Source organism: Homo sapiens, chromosome 14, assembly GCF_000001405.40.
Source record: "Homo sapiens chromosome 14, GRCh38.p14 Primary Assembly".
In the NCBI taxonomy this organism is placed as follows: Eukaryota; Metazoa; Chordata; class Mammalia; order Primates; family Hominidae; genus Homo; species Homo sapiens.
In genome coordinates this window covers 67,412,274-67,429,425 of record NC_000014.9, presented here as the reverse complement: position 1 = coordinate 67,429,425, position 17,152 = coordinate 67,412,274, and the positions used below count along the sequence as shown (strand labels likewise).

General features: G+C 48.9%; 1 protein-coding gene across 1 annotated transcript in view, besides 3 other annotated features; it reads right to left on the bottom strand.

Annotated features, from left to right (window-relative positions):
* GPHN (gephyrin) overlaps positions 1-17,152 on the bottom strand; it is a 1,227,209-nt gene that overhangs the window by 305,930 nt on the left and 904,127 nt on the right. The gene's annotated exons all lie outside the window — the stretch shown is intronic.
* Positions 10,164-10,464: an enhancer, noted in NCBI's record as "enhancer fragment used in reporter construct". NCBI's record gives its function as "activates an SCP1 promoter by reporter assays in K562 erythroleukemia cells {active_cell/tissue: K562}" and the evidence as "EXISTENCE:reporter gene assay evidence [ECO:0000049][PMID:32103011]".
* Positions 10,242-10,386: an enhancer, noted in NCBI's record as "145 bp enhancer 49 fragment used in the MPRA reporter construct; PK_construct_4215". NCBI's record gives its function as "activates an SV40 promoter by MPRA in K562 cells {active_cell/tissue: K562}" and the evidence as "EXISTENCE:reporter gene assay evidence [ECO:0000049][PMID:23512712]".
* Positions 10,305-10,322: a transcriptional cis regulatory region, noted in NCBI's record as "GATA motif; enhancer activity is reduced when this motif is scrambled". NCBI's record gives its function as "necessary for full MPRA enhancer 49 activity {active_cell/tissue: K562}" and the evidence as "EXISTENCE:site-directed mutagenesis evidence [ECO:0005528][PMID:23512712]".

Below are 17,152 nucleotides of genomic sequence, written 5' to 3'. Positions count from 1 at the left end.
AACCCCATCTCTACTAAAAATACAAAAATTGGCTGGGCGTGGTGGTGGGTGCCTGTAATCCTAGCTACTCAGGAGGCTGAGACAGGAGAATCGCTTGAACCCGGGAGCCGGATGTTGCAGTGAGCCAAGATCACGCCACTGCACGCCAGCCTGGGCGACAGTGTGAGACTCTGTCTCAAAAAAAAAAAAAAAAAATTGTCCACTTGCCTCAGCCTCCCAAAGTGCTGGGATTACAGGCATGAGCCACCACACTGGGCCTCATCATTGTTATTGTTATTAACACAATGATCCCATTTTAGTCATGGCTTCAGCCCAGCTGAGCTTTGTGAACTTGAGCAAGTTATTTAATCTCTGTGGGCTCTTATTTTGTATAAAACAAGAGAATACGGGTCTTGAGCCTTCACATTCCTTCTAACTCTGTGATCCTGCTCTCATTTGACTCTAATGGGAAAATTCCATCTTTAAAGGAGACCAACACCAGCTAATCAGATGAGGTGGCTGACTGCTTACAGAGCGTGATAAGAGAGGCTGCACAAAGTTCACCTGGCTCCTCCAAACCAACGCCTGCTTCTCTCTCCAGCAGGCCCCCTACAGCCCAGGGCAGCAGTGGGGAGAGCTTCAGGAGCAGCCGGCAGATGATAACTAATACTAAAGGAAGGAGGCCAGGCCCTCAAGCCTGAGGTTGGAAGGAAGGGGCAGCGTTGAGTAGGGTGAGGGTCTGGCCTTGAGTTCTGGTGAGGGAATAGCTGGTGAGGACAGACTGACAATGCAGTTTCACCCGCTCTCTGCAGAGGCAGTGTGTGTGCTGGTGAGAAACCTGGCCGATGAGTCAGATGGCCTGAGTTGGAATCTTGGCTCTTCCACGTACCAGCTGTGTGACTTGGACAAAGTACTTAACTTTTCTGGGCCTCAAATTCCTCCTTTGTGAAACAAGGTAATGCAATGGTAAGAGTTCTCCCCTACTGTGTAGTGAAGATTAAATATGTACAAGCACTTGGAAAAGTGCTAGGCACATAAGTGCTCTAAGTGTTAGCTGTGAATATTATTCCAATCTTGGGGAGCAGGATAGAGCTTTGGGCTAGTGCACCGAGGGCGTCCTTGCATGTGGGTGTGGGTGGGTCCTCTGCTGCTGCACTGGAAGCAGTCAGAGGTGTGCCCAGCTGACCATGGGGGTCTGGGCATAGGTGGAGGCTAAAAAGGCATTGTCAGCTGGGCACGGTGGCTCATGCCTGTAATTCCAGCACTTTGGGAGGCTGAGGCGGGTGGGTCGCTTGAGGTCAGGTGTTTGACACCAGCCTGTCTAACATGGCAAAACCCCGTATCTACTAAAATACAAAAATTAGCTGGGTGTGGTGGCGGGTGCCTAATCCCAGCTACTCAGGAGGCTGAGGCAGGAGAATCGCTTGAACCCGGGAGGCAGAGGTTGCAGTGAGCCAGAATCGTGCCACTGTACTCCAGCCTGGGCAGCAGAGTGAGACTTTGTCTCAAAAAAAAAAAAAAGGGCATTGTCGAGCTCCTGTAAAACATCCTGGGTGTCTCGGAAATGTGTGCGAGAGGCTTTTGGGGATGGTCTCATGACAGTGCCAGAACATGCTAGAAAAGCACGGTGCCTTACAGTTACTATCACCCCCAGTGCAGGGGGGCCTGAGGAGACTAAGCTTACACACCCTTAAAAGAAACCAAATCTCCTAAGTATGAGTGTCCCCGAAAGGGCTAAAAACTAAATCGTTGTCTGCCATTATTAGCTCCTTAGCGTAAATGAGTTTCTCAGAGTAGGTGGTATTTAGTAGAGCCCTGGGAATAAGAACTGAAAATGAATGGCGACGGTAAGTCTTAAGACGGAGCTCTCGTGGGAAGCCGGTGGGTAGAGCCCTGGGCCGCCGACCTGGGGTTCCACCTGAGTGTGTTCGCGGCAGGGTGTTGGGATTCCAGAGAACAACGACGGAAGCCCCTGACAAAGGTGGCCTGCTTCAACTTCGCGTTGGAACCCAGGGCCCGCCGAAGGCCGCATTTCCACGGCCACAGCCAGCCAGAGCTGCCCTCTCATACCCTCTCCGTTTGTAGACCAAGGGCCCTTCCCTGCCCGAGACCTTCTCAACTATGCGGGACTCGGTCACCCTCTAGTGGCAACTGGGCAGAAGTTTTTCTCTTAAAATTGTCGACAACAGGATGATTTTATAATGGCATTTGGATAGTGCTTTACAGTTAACGGGACTGTCACAAATATTACAGTGTAGCTTTTCTACTGGAGTACGCCACCCACATCCCCATAGTCATCAGCCGCCTGAAGCATCCCTCCCTCCCCCGCGTGACACAATACACTCTGGCTACCTCCAATCCCTCCCTCCCCCGCGCGACACAATACACTCTAGCTACCTCCAACACTCCAGCTTTCCCATTGCTTTGGCTCATCTAGTTTTTCCCAGTGGGCAGAGGGAAGAGTCCTGGAGCCTGCGGAGGCCTGGGGAGGACTAGGTGACTTCTGACTCCTCTGCCCCTGAGCTATAAGCCCTAGGAATCTGCAGACGTTGTCTCTTAAAACTGGACATTAGGCCAGGCACCGTGGCTCACGCCTGTAATCCCAGCACTTTGCAAGGCCGAGCTGAGTGGATCACCTGAGGTCAGGAGTTCGAAACCAGCCTGCCCAACATGGAGAAACCCCGTCTGCACTGAAAATACAAAATTAGCCGGGCATGGTGGCACATGCCTGTAGTCCCAGCTACTTGGAAGGCTAAGGCAGGAGAATCGCTTGAATCCAGGAGGCGGAGGTTGCGGTGAGCCAAGATCACGCCATTACACTCCAGCCTGGGCAACAAGAGTGAAACTCTGTCTCAAAAAAAACAAAACAAAACCAAAAAAATAGACATTATCCACACTGTCCCCCGAACCCGGCAGCCTACCATTTCACAGTCTGCTGCTGCTGAAGGCAATCGCACCGGCCACTTGTGTTTTAAGGGGCACACACTGACTGTGCCAACAGCGAAGAGGCAGCAGATAGTGAAACTCCCACAGGGCACATGACAGCTGTTCTCCTACTTTCAAAGGTTTCACAGCCATGGTCCCAGGGCTTTGATTCTTAACTCCCTTGCTGAGATCACCATTGAAAACCCCAAGGGTGAAGCTCAAACCCTCTACCCTCCTCAGCAACTACCCAACTCAGCCCAGAGATCCTGTCGGACCACACAATAGTCTCCTTTGTGTGGGGAATCTTTTCGAGACTGTTGTTCTGCTTGTCTCTCCGCAGGAAAAGGTAATCTGAGAGTCATACTGAATATTTTAAATGTTAGATACTGGGTGTGTTTTGGGTTTTGATGTGTTTAGTAAACCACTCAGAGATGTTTTGTTTCAGGCAGGATAAGCCGGTTATTAAATTTTTTCATTGGCCAGGCATGGTGGCTCATGCCTGTAATCCCAGCACTTTGGGAGGCTGAGGCAGGAGGATCACTTGAGCCCAGGAGTTCCAGACCAATCGGCAATATAGCAAGACCCTGTCTCCACCAAAAAAAAAAATTTTTTTTTTGAGACAAGATGTGGGGTGTGGGGCAGGGAGGGAGCCCACAGGATCAGGCTGGCTCTCAGGATACTATCAGATCAGCAGAGACACGCCCACCGCTGTGGTTCTACCCTGTGTCTGGAAGTGGGTTCTCCTGTGGTCCTATTCCAGCTCCTGTCCATCAGAGCAGGTCCAGTTCCCCTGTGTTGTTGCTCCCTGAGGCTGGTCCCTGGGAGGCAGGGCTCCCCTCTCATTGCCTTAATTCTTCCCAGTCCCTTTTCGAAAGGAAGGACCTCATCCCAACTGGTTCACCTGCTTTGTCTTGCCGGGAGAAACAGTTTAGCTCATACTAAGAATGAAAACTTTTTGTTTGTTTGCTTTGTTTTTTGGTTTGGTTTTAGAGACTCTGTTGCCCAGGCTGGAATGCAGTGCTGGTATCTCAGCTCACTGCAACCTCCACCTTCTGGGCTCAAGCAATCCTCACACCTCAGCCTCTGGAGTAGCTGGGACTATAGGCGTGTGCCACCACACCGGGCTAATTTTTTGTAGAGATGGAGTTTCATCATGTTGCCCAGACTGGTCTTGAACTCCTGACCTCAAGTGATTCTCCCGCCTTGGCCTCCCAAAGTGTTGGGATTATAGGCATGAGCCACTGTACCTGGCCTACAAAAATTTTTAAAAATTAGGCAGGCATGGTGGTGTGTGCCTGTAGTCCTAGCTGCTCAGGAAGCTGAGGCAGGAGGATCACTTGAGCCCAGAGTTTGAGGCTGTAGTGAGCTGTGATCACAGCACTGCATTCCAGCCTGGGCAACAGAGTGAGACCCTGTCTCTAAAACCAAACCAAAACAAAGCAAACAAACAAAAAATTTTCATTCCTAGTATGAGCTAAACTTTGTTTCTCCCGGAAAGATAAAGCAGGTGAACCAGTTGGAATGATGTCCTTCCTATCCAAAGGGGACTGAGAAGAATTAAGACAATGAGAAGGGAGCCCTGCCTCCCAGGGACCAGCCTTGGGGAGGAAGGAACTGAGGGAAACTGGGTCTGCTCTGATTGACAAGAGCTAGAATAGGACCACAAGAGAGCCCACTTCCAGACACAGGGTAGAAGCATAGCCGTGGGCATGTCTGTGCTGATCTGAAGGGGCTCTGGGGGCAGCCCAATCCTGTGGGCTTCCTCCCCACCCCACACCCAGTGGAAGTCTCAGCAGGACCCTGCTCAGACAGGTCATGACCCAAGACCAGGGAGAATGCCGGATGCTGAGACTGGGACCATAGGAAGGAAGACTAGGGGTGGGCAGGGGCTTGGATCTGCTTCCTTTTTTTTTTTTTTTTTTTTAAACAGCGTCTTTTTCTGTCATCCAACCTGGAGTGCAGTGGCACAATCTTGGCTCACTGCAGCTTCAACTTTCCAGGCTCAAGCACTCCCCCCACCTCAGCCTCCCAAGTAGCTGGGACTACAAGCACACACCTGTATTTTTCATAGAGATGGGGTTTCATCATGTTGTCCAGGCTGGTCTTGAACTCTTGAGTTTAAGTGATCTGCCTGCCTCAGCTTCCCAGAGTGCTAGGACTGTAGGCTTGAATCACTGTGCCTGGCACACTTCATTCTTTCTTAATCACCCCCAATATTTTAGCTTCTCCTCTCCCCTTTTTATTTTTAATTTTATTTATTTATTTATTTATTTATTTTTGAGACAGAGTTTTTTGCTCTTGTTGCCCAGGCTGGAGTGCAATGGCATGATCTCAGCTCACCACAAACTCCGTCTCCCGGGTTCAAGTGATTCTCCTGCCTCAGCCTCCTGAGTAGCTGGGATTACAGGCACCTGCCACCAGGCTTGGCTAATTTTTTTGTATTTTTAGTAGAAATGGGGTTTCTCCATGTTGGTCAGGCTGGTCTTGAACTCCCGACCTCAGGTGATCTGCCTGCCTTGGCCTCCCAAAGTGCTGGGATTACAGGCATGAGCCACTGCACCCAGCCTCCTCCCTACTTTTTAAAAAAGTGCCTGGTGTTAAGCATTCAATTCCATTAGACCATATGGGTGGGAAAAAGGAAGTGGATTTAAAAGTCTTTCGTTCCTCCAACTATTCCAGGAGCCATCAGTAACACCCACCCCAGGGCTCACTTGCACTTGGACACTTCTGGATATTGTGACAGCCACACACTCACCTTGCTGGGAGGAAACAATGCCCAGTGAGATGGAAGAAATATTATGAAGCCTAAAGGAAGAAGCTGTGTTGGCATAAACCTCAGGCTCTACACCCTTCCTTTCCTCTCTGCGGTTCTCTCCAGACTGTGCCAAGGTTTGCCGCAACCCTCTCCCACCTTTTCTCAGACTTACCACTTCCCCTTTCCTATGCTATGAGCACCCTGATGCCCACTTTCCCTTTGAGTTCCCTGGTTCTAGCAAAGGACCCCTCCCCTCCCTCACCTGTGGTCCCTCCCCACCTTTCACTCTTGGCCCCCTTCAGAGCCCCCTCTTCTGTCAACACTGTGGGTGCCTAGACTGTGCCAGGGACTGGGGAAGCAGAGTCCTAAAATACAGTTTCTGTTCATGAAGAAGCTGGCTGTGGAGGGTGGAGGTGAGGCATGTTCACAGGTAAAAAATAATTACAAAATTATGTCATGAGTACTCTCTTAGAGGTCACTACAGACAGTCACTTAATTTTAAAAATTCAATCTTGCAAACAAATGCCCTCCCCCAACCCCTTTTTGGCCCTTTCTGCTGGACACAGTTTTGAGAGAATGTTTGTTGCTGTAGCAGAAGACACTGATGATGACAGGGCAGAAAGGGGGAAAACCGGCCACCGCTCGGTGGCTCACCCCTGTAATCCCAGCACTTTGGGAGGCTGAGGCAGGCAGATCACCTAAGGTTGGGAGTTTGAGACCAGCCTGAACAACATGAAGAAACCCGTCTCTACTAAAAAAAATAAAAAATTAGCCGGGCATGGTGGCGCATGCCTGTAATCCCAGCTACTCGGGAGGCTGAGGCAGGATAATCGCTTGAACCTGGGAGGCGGAGGTTGCAGTGAGCCAAGATTGCACCATTGTACTCCAGCCTGGGCAACAAGAGCAAAACTCCATCTCAAAAAAAAAAAAAAAAAAAAAAGATGGGGAAAGCCTAGGTTTTGATGGCAGCACTGAGCCATTGCATCTACTCTGGAATCGCCTACTCATTAAGTAACTAACAACATCTGTGTTGGGTTTAAGCCACTGCTGGTTGACTTTTCAGTTACTTGCAGCCCGAAGCATTCTAACTGATATGCATTTTCTTCCATGTATGAGAGAAGAAGTTAGGGGTGAACTGGGATGCACAAATTACAGTACTGCTGATCAGTCTGGGCAGGCCCAACTTCTTTGTGGAAAGGAATAGAAAGATCTGTGGTGGACAGGCCTCCTCTACCTTTATTCATTTAACTTATTCAGCCCATGTTTATGGCATAGCACCCATGTGCCAGGCATCACGGTGAGTTGCGTGGCTAAAATCAAGAGCAAATTCACACAGAGTGTATTACACTCACAGGTCCTCGGCCATATGCTAGCTGTGTAAGACATGGCATACCACACGGGGGAAGACACCAGGGTGGTCAGGGGGCAGAAGACAGGAGCCAGGGGAAAGCGTTAGGTCAGAGCCTTTATTGGGGCTTTCAAGGGGAAGGCAAGGCAGGACAAGGTGAACAGTTTTGGACTGGCTAGTTTGAATGTTATGGAGGGTGCTCTAAGCTATAGGAGTGGTCCCTAGTTGCCTGATACCTTGCCCTGGGATGATTAAGATGAGGAATATTGTCTCCCTGGGTGTATAGGCCAGATGGTGAAGGATTGGTTAGTTTGTACATCAAAAGCATGCTCTCAGCTGAGCCCTTGCTATTTCTAGGAACTGGCTAGGCCCTGAGAGAGGCAATCTCTCCCCAGCTAGAGGGTATTCTAAGATGTCAAAACATTGCAACATTCATGACTGACCGGATACCAGTCAGATGCCATTTATCCTTATTTTAAGCACCATCCTAATAACTCAGGTTATTTGTCTATCAGACTGCCAGCAATTTATGGAGTAGCTGCGGGAGATGGACAGCCTAACAGCAATGAGAAGTGGCAGTGGAGATAAGGGCAGAGATAGCAAAACTAGGGAAAGCAGACCGAGAACCCGCAAAGCACAATAGCCTAGGTCCATTTCAGAGGCAAAGTGTTGGAGGGCCCCTCTGCAGTTTCCACGTAATTCCATGCTCTTACCAATGGCTCCGAATGCACATCTCTAGAAGCCCAACAGGTGAGTTAATGGCTAGGATCGTTCCTATAGGCCCTCCTTCATTCATCCATCCAGACAGGCTCACACTCTCTTTGGTATTTCTGAGCGATGGTGGTAGTGTTATCTTGCTGCCGTCATCACTTTTTCTTTTTGTCCATTGAGGAGATGGCCCAGAAGGAGGAGCCCTGGCCTGGGTGTCTGGTGGCCTGAGCTTGGCCTCCACAAGTCACCCCATTCACCCAACCTTTATTCTTCAAACTCCTGCTGTGGGGCTCAACTTCCTCCCCTGTAAAGTGGAGGTCGGTCCACATAAGCTCAGTCTGACAATCCCGATGTTCAAGGAGAGGCTGTTCTGGGCTAGGCAATCATGATCAGGGACATTTTCATGGATTTACCATGCCCAGGTGCTTTCTAAGTGCTTTACATGGTTAACTTTGTTGAGTCTTCCAACCCTCTGAGGCTTAGGCAGTTGCATAGGGTCCCCTGCAATTTGAAAGGCCCTGTGCCTGTTTTCATTCTCTACTGTCAAGGTCTTAAAATTCATACTAATTTTGAACCAAGGGCTTGGCATTTTCCTTTTGCACCAGGACTAAAAAATTATGTGATCAGTCCTGGGTTCAGTTCCTTTTAGAGGAACTGAGTAACTTGCCCAAGGTCAACTAACTCCCTGCCACTCAAGATGTGGTCCCTGACCAACTGCATCCTCATCTCAGAGCTTGATAGAAATGCAGATTCTCAGGCCTGACAGAATCAGATCTGTACTTTACCAAGATCAGATCCAGAGCCTGCTCTCTCAATCATTGTTTGCTATTTTCTTCCATTTCTGCATTTATTGGAAACATATTCTCAATTGCACAGGAAAAGACCTCAATTTGGGATCTTTAATTAGAGATGATTTGCCTTCACCCTACTGTGAAAGGTGAGTTTCTAAGGGCCCCAACTTGCAGGACAGTGTGGGTGGGTGCCCCACAGGTGGTCAGAAGTGCCAGCTAATTGAGACATCTACCCTCCTGAAATGTTGCACACTAGGTTCCTCACTTGAGAGTCTCGGCGCTGGCAAGGGTGGGATGCCTCAATTAGCTGGCTCTTCTGACTACCTATGGGCTGTCCTGAGATTTAGGGCCTTTAGAAGTGCCAGGCTTCCGGTCTCGGGAATTTCTGATTAGGGCAGTTTCTCTACAGGGAACTCCAGAAAGGAGCGTGATTGGTCAAAATCAGAATTCAATCCTTCCACCATCTCTTCCCATCATTAACCTCAGGAAGTCTGCAGTCACCTGCTACCGGTCACACGTCCCTTCGTTCACAGCTCTGCCTTGGATATTGTTAGGGCTGGCGTCACCCCTCTTTTAATCCCCCTAGCAAACTGCTCCACCTAGCGGCGGGCAGCATCTCCCAGAGGCGGAGCTGGGTGTATGGAGACAGGGGGCCTCTTCAATGCCAGCCTCAGAGGAGAGGTGGGAGGCCAGGATGGAGTCTGGCCAGTCACATCACCTGGGAGTGGCAGAGACTTTCTGGGCAGTGCCTGCCTGGCACCTGGCTTCAGCTGGGACTTTCAGAGGGCATGCCATGGTTGTTGCACTGAGAGGGCCCTTCCCTAAGGAGGGCTGAGAGGTTCAGGGATTTTCCAGGGTCCTGGTTCCCAGAGCCAACTCACCTTCAGAACCACCTGGAAGTGAGAGATTTCTTAAAATGAAGATTTCCCAACCCAAGAATCAGAGTCTCCTGGGTATGGACATGATTCCTGCTACTTTTCCATGGAATAGAAAAAAGCACCCGCTCTGGGGAGATGCAGACCCACTGCCATGTGGCTTAGCGAATGGATGCAGCCTTTTTTTTTTTTTGAGACGGAGGCTGGCTCTGTCTCCCAGGCTGGAGTGCCGTGGCGCGATCTCGGCTTACTGTAAGCTCCGCCTCCCAGGTTCACGCCATTCTCCTGCCTCAGCCTCCCGAGTAGCTGGGACTACAGGAGCCCGCCACCACGCCCGGCTAATTTTTGTATCTTTAGTAGAGACGGGGTTTCACCGTGGTCACGATCTCCTGACCTCATGATCCGCCCGCCTCGGCCTCCCAAAGTGCTGGGATTATAGGCGTGAGCCACCGCCCCCCGCCTGGATGCAGCCTTTATGAGATGAGAACCCCCCTGCTTTCTTTGGGGAAGGCAGCCCTGCGTGGAGGCATGCCTTTGGTAGTTGAACGCAGACTGCACCTCCGGCCCCCATTTGCCTTCTTAGCCAGGTTCCTTTTGTGCAGTAAATACCCTGCATTGTTGTAAATGGTGCTCTTAGGTAGGGCTGGGAAAAACCGTGCAGGTGATTTTGATGACCAGCCAGGTGGGAGCCCCTGAGGCCTGGAGAGCAGCTGTAACTACAGGGGCTCCGCAGGGGTGAGCATAACACCATGGCTACTCCCTTCCTGTGCTGGGGGGTCCTCAGACATCCCTAGGCCAAGGTTCTGCCCCTCTCTTGTTTACCCACTCAAAATAAGCAAAACCAAAAGCCTAGCCTCCAGGAATAACATTTAGGGAAAGCAGTGAGGAAAGCAGAATGGAAGGAGGCGAGGGAAGGGGCTCTTATCTATATCCAGCAGGTCCAGCCCTGCCCGTGCACACAGCTGAGTCACACCTCACATCCTGCTCCACCCCAGCCCTGATGGCCCTGAGACATCTGCCAAGGGGCATTTCTCCTTCCAGGCTGAGTTCTAGGGGGTGGCAAGGTGGATGGCACTGGTGGGGAAGCAATGGGTCTGGGCTCTCATCCCCAGCAAAGCCTTGCAGAGCGCCCTGGGGAGAGTGACTGACCTCTCAAGGCGTTCCAGCTTTTTCAGTGGAACAGGGAGGTAGGTTTCAGGGTGTTAATGACAGGGAGAGGGCACCCACCCCTCCATGGCAGGGAGAGGCTCCAAGTCACGTAGTCCCTCTGGCATTGCTTTGTAGCATCACAGTGTGACAAGTGTGTCGATCAGCTTTGACTAACTTCCATGGTGGTGACAGTATCCTCTACCCCCTCACTCCACCCCAGATCTCAGTGTTTACAACAGAGGCTGACTTCGCACTCACATTGGCTGCAGCTCTCTCTCCAAGTCACCTTCATTCCTGGACCCAGAGTAGGAGCAGCCCCTATCTGGGCCGCGCGGGGCTTGTGGCACCAAGCAATGGTGCTCAAAGCTTCTGCTGAGATATGCATCTGAGGTTGCATTGTCCAAATCGAGTCACAAGACCAAACCTGAGTCAATGGGACAGGGATGTGTAATTCTATCACAGGGGATAGGGGAATGAATAATTGGGAATAGTAATGCAATCTACTGCCATGGACCCCTGACTTAGGCTGAAAGGATTTCATCACAGGAAGAGAGAACACAATTTAGCCAAAGAAGACTGTGTGGAGTAGTGGAAAGAGCAAGGCTTGGACCTGGACAGGCCTGGATTTTAACCTGGACTCGACCATATGCTAGCTGTGTAATGTTGGCCAAGTTATTTAACTTCTCCAAATTTTCATTTACATCTACAGAATGGGAATAATACCTAATTCAAAGGGCGATTTTGAGAATCAATTACATAGTAGATGTTAAGTCTTTGGCACATAGTAGGAACACAGTAAATATGACCATGCTACTCTACCCACTCCCCAGCTTTAACATTTTATCCAGGCCGGGCATGGTGGCTCACTCCTATACACCCAGCACTTTGGGAAACCAAGACAGGAGGATCACTTGCGCCCAGGAGTTCAAATCCAGCCTGGGCAACACAGGGAGACCTCTGTCTCTACAAAAACATTAAATAATTAGCCAGGCATGGTGGTGCATGCCTGTAGTCCCAGCTACTCGAGAATCTGAAGTGGGAAGATTGCTTAAGCCTGGGAGGCTGAGGCTGCAGTGAGCTGTGATTGCGGCACTGCATTCCAGCCTGGGCAACAGAGTGAAACCCCATCTCAAAAAACAAAGCAGCAACAAAAAATCCAAACAAAACAAAAATGTGGCTCATGCCTATAACCCCAACACTTTGGGAGGCCAAGGCAGGAGGCTCACTTGAGCCCATGAGTTCAAGACCAGCCTGAGCAACATAGGCCATCTCTACAAAAAAAAATTTTTTTTAATTAACCAAGTGTGTTGGTGCATGCATATAGTCTCAGCTACTCAGGAGGCTGAGGTAGGGGGATTGCTTATACCTGGGAGGTGGAGGCTGCAGTGAGCTATGATGGCACCATTGCACTCCAGCCTGGGCAACAGAGTAAGAACCTGTCTCAAAAATAAAAATATTATATCCATAACTCTGGAGGTGTTGATTACCAATGCTCACTCCTTCTACCAACCTCACAACGTGGGATCGAGTGGAAATGAAAAAACCTATTGTGTGTTTACTGTGTCCCAGGCACCGCACTACATAATTTATTGTCATAATCTCATTTATTTTCCCCAAACAACTCTTTGTATGCTATTAGCCCATATTAGAGATGAGGAACTTGAGGATCAGAGAGGATAAGTAACTTGCCATCAGTAACATGGGTGGCATAGGAAGGGTTTGAACCCATGCTATAGATTCCAGAACCCATACTCAAGAGCAGTGCTGTTCAAGAGTGATCTGGTACTGCTCTATGATGAAAGAATGGGAACTGAGAGTCAGTGCTTGGAAACTTTTATAGCAGCTGGGCATTACCACAACATTCAAGCACACAGTCCGTGGTCTTGATTCACTGAACAGAATATAGACCAGTTTGGGTGACGTAGAAGTCTCCAATAAGTCACTTGTGGCAGAGGCTGTTTTCTGGTCATGCACAGTAGGACCACTCAATGTTCACAGCTCAGAAGTCCAGTCTTCACCACAGATAGTGTGAGAAGCCTCACCTTTATGGTGGAGCATCTGCCCTGTGAACTGCAGTGTCCCCGGAATTAGTACAAAAGATGCTGTTAATCAACAATGCTGCTGTTAATGGAAAAGATACCTTGTTTACACTGACATATGAGGCCCCAGGGCAGGTCTGTGTGTCACCCATGGCACTGTCCGTGCTTTGTACACGGACATTCTCAGTATCTGTCTCCCTGCTTCAGTGAATGAATGAATGAATTGACAGATGAATGAATATACATTTCTGTTGTAGCAGAGCAACTAGCTGGATGGCCTTGGGCATAGCCACGAATTAGGCAAAATTTCTCTTTAGTCTTTTCCTGCCTGTACTTCTAGCTCCTGTCTCCTCTGGCTTTTTGCCTCTGCCCAATCTTTTCAGTGCCTTCAGGGTGCTCTCCTGGCTGCCCGGGACCCCACACGCCCTCCTTTTCCTACAAATGATGCGCTACTCTGGGACTTCACCGCCCAGTTCTCTAGCAGTTTTCCAGCAACTTCTCAGTTCTGAGTCTCTTCCAGGGGACGTCCCTCTAGCTGGCCGTCCCCCAGGTAGCAGGGCTCAGCCTTGACTGAGATAACACACAGCTTACGCAAGTGGGGGTTGTCCCTGCTGGTTCTGAGAAAATCAGCAAAGCTTTCTACTCAAAGCATGATGTGGGCTGATAAAAAATAAATAAGCAAATACATTTTTAAAATCAGCAAAGCTTCTTGTTTAATTATCTTAAGTTTCAAGGTACATGTGCGGGATGTGCAGGTTTGTTACACAGGTAAATGTGTGCCATGGTGGTTTGCTGCACCTATCAACCCATCACCTAGGTATTAAGCCCAACATGCACTAGCTATTTTTCCTGATGCTCTCCCTCCCGCCACATCCCCTGACAGGCCCCAGTGTGTGTTATTCCCCTCCCTGTGTCCATGTGATCTCAATGTCCAGCTCCCACATACAAGTGAGACCATGCGATGTTTGGTTTTCTGTTCCTGTGTTAGTTTGCTGAGGATAATGGCTTCCAGCTTCATCCAAGTCCCTGCAACGGACATGATCTTATTCCTGTTTTTGGCTGCATAGTATTCCATGGTGTATACGTACCACATTTTCTTTATCCAGTCTAACATTGATGGGCATTTGGGTTGATTCCATGTCTTTGCTATTGTGAATAGTGCTGCAATGAACATACACATGCATGTATCTTTATAATAGAATGATGTATATTCCTGAAAATACTATACTGAATGCTGGCGTAGACGCAGTGAGACTGGCATTGTCATACGCTGCTGGTGAGGATAGCATGTGATACATTTCTAGAAAGCAGTTTTGTGATATGCTTCAAGAATTTTAAAAATTTACACCCTTTAACCTAAAATTATACCTTAGATGTTTATCTGAAATAATCAGAGATCTGGCAAAATGTGTATGTACAGAGATATTTATCATAATACTATTTACACAGTGAAAAAGGAAATTCAACCTACATGGGAATGATTAAATTCAGTCACCATGAAATTTTATGCAGTTATTTAAATTATGTTTTTGAATTACTTTTAATGACCTGGTAAGATACTTATTAGCTATTATAAGTTAAAAAAAAAGGCAGGGTTCAAAAATTTTAAATAAAATTTAATTTAAAAGTATGTGCATATAAACATACTGATCATCTGTCTGAGTGATAGATTCAGGGTGGTTTTATCCCTTTTGGTATTTTCTAAATATTCTATAATATGCACAAATGTATTTTTATGTTCAGAAAAAAATGTAGAAGGATTTTTTGAAGTCTTTTCCAGTTCTGCAGACAGAGCCCTTCCAGGCCTGCAGCCCCCCTCTCACTGCAGGATGCTCTGATGCAGGTCGCTGCTGGGGGCATTGCCCTGTATTTGCCAGGAGCCAGCCTTGAGCTCTGTTAGCCTGTATTCTGGCCCTGGTTTTACCACTAACTGGCTGCAAGACCTTGGACAAGTCATTTTATTTCCCTGGGCTTTGAGGGTCCTCATTTATAAAATGAAGCATCCGGATTTGGTGATCTTTAGGGATTAGATTCTGATTCTGTGATTCCGGTAAACTCAAGAAGTCCAGGCATTTATTGTGAATAAGTTTCCATGATTTATCCTTTTCCACTCTATGTATCTTAAACAGGGGATTCTTATCTGAAGCTAAAGGAATGAATCTCTAATGATAGATTCTCACATCAGGCTGTGAGTCACCTATACTTAAACACAGACCTAATAGTTTTCTGCAACTCAGCACCCTAGGCATTATCTGTCCCTGTCCCTTCGGGACAAAAAGGGGAGGAGCTGAGAGGGCCAGGGACCCTTCCACATCAGCCTCCAGGCCTGAGAGGGAGAGGAGGGGTGTCTCTCTGAAAGCTTCTTGCTCGTCCCTGCCCCCTCCCCCAGCTGTTTACTGCTGTCTGCTTCCTTCTGTCTCCATCCTCTTCCCTATGGGTGAGTTGGGCTTATGTCATCATGGTTCCCTGGTGGGCTGGTGGCTCAGCCACCACAGCCTGGGGAAGGAAGGGGTATGACTCATGCCCCAGATCCAGTGAGTCAGGCAGGGTGGGCTGGACCAGGGGTTTCCTAGGACAGGAAGCAGGTTCTAGGTGTGCCTTAACTTCTTCCTGGCAGGAGCCCTGCCAGGAGAAGGTATCCATCTCTTTCCCATTCCCATTTCTGTGAATTCATTCAAGAACCCCTCCTGCCAAAGAAAATGCCACTTCTTCTAAGCCTCAGAAGATTGTGTCTGGGTGGGGCCAAGACAGCCTCTTTGAGGAAGGAGATGGATAGACCACAGTTAGAGCCGAAGAGGATGAGAACTTCCCAGCTCAACCTCTCAAGTCCTGGCTTTCAGCCCAGCTAGGTTTCAGAGCTGGGACAATTCCTTAGGAGGCAAGAGTATTTGCAATGCCCTGGAGCTGCATAACCTTGGGCAAGTTATTTAACTACTTGGATTCAGTTTCCTTGACTGGAAAATGACATAATAAACACCTCATGGGGTTGTTGTACTTTAGATAAAACCTAGCACCTACTACTACAGGCCTGGCTTCAGAAGGTGACCAGCTGATGTTCATTCTGAATTGGAATGGAAGCCCCACTGCTTTGGGGCTTCCTGGGAAGTCTGAAGGCCAGTTAGTGCAGAAGGCTAGAGTGGGCCATTGGGCTGGCACGCAGTGACCCAGACCCTGCGAGTTTTCCTTGGGGCTGGCAGGTGGGAGTGGGGTTGGGGGGATGTAATATGTCTACTACAGACATGTAGAAGCAACACTGTGTCAAGAGCTCCAGGGCAGGGACTGGCCTGGGAGCTGGCTTCAGTCTGGTTCTGAAAGGCACCCCCCGCCTTCCACAAGCTGGTTCACCTTCTTCCTCTCTAGAGCCTTCTCTTCCCTTACAGGCATCTGAGGGCCTTTCCCATGCCTGGTGAAGAGTCCTGACAGGGCCCTTCAAACTGGAGCACAAATAATATGGACCGGCCCCATGACTCATGCCCACAATCCCAGCACTTTGGGAGGCTGAGGCAGGAGGACTGCTTGAGCCCAGGAGTTCGAGACCAGTCTGGACAATATAGTGAGACCCTGTCTCTATAAATAAAAATAAATTTTAAAAAAATGTGTGACTGTGTTCTAAGGATTGTTAGACAGAATCAGTACTATTTGACTGAGTTTCCTTCTGTTCCAGGCTCCAATATGGCCTGATAGAACATTGTTGTTGATCCTATCTATTTAAAATGTTAGCATTTTGTTCATCGTGGATTTTTTGACATTAATTTTGATTTTAAAAAATGCATTAAAATATTATTTTTCTAGGTCTTACACGGTGGCTCTTGCCTGTAATCCCAGCACTTTGGGAAGCCCAGGCCGGAGGATTGCTTGAGGCCAGGAATCAAGACCAGCCTGGGCAACATAGCAACACCCTATCTCTACGAAAAATAAAAATAAACCAGCCAGGCATGGTGGTGCACTCCTGTAGTCCTAGCTACTTGGGGAGCTGAGGCAGGAGGATCTTAAGCCCAGAGTTTAAGGCTGCAGTGAGCTATGATCACACCACTGCACTCCAGCCTGGGTGACAGAGAAAGACCCTGTCTCAAAAAACAAACAAAAAACCCCAAAAAACCAATCATCTCTCTCTATATATAATTTGTCTAGGTTACTGGACTCCTTGGTGCCCCCTTAAATTTTGTCCTTAATGATGGAATTTTCGGCTTCATCTTTTTTGAGGGAGCGGGGTATATCCTGCGGACAGGGGGCCCTGCAAACTGTGCCTGCCGCCTTAAAACTGTGACCTTCCTGTTACTGAGAGGTCTTCTCTGCCCCCATCAGAGGCCAGGATAAAATTCCCATACCAGTTTCGGCTCACCCACTGTCCCATCTCCTACTTGCAATGAGCTCAGGAATGGCTCCAAATCCTGGAGTCCTGTCGGTTATGTTCAATTCGATAAGCGTTCCTCGAGGGCAATGCGCTAAGTGCCCGGGAAGCACCTGGCGAAGGACGCTGAGCAGAGAGACTGGAACAGTGAGGGGCGCGGGGCGCACCTGGATGGGGCGGGGTTGGCCGCTCTGTACCTGGAGGACCAACCACCGACCCTGGAGCACCT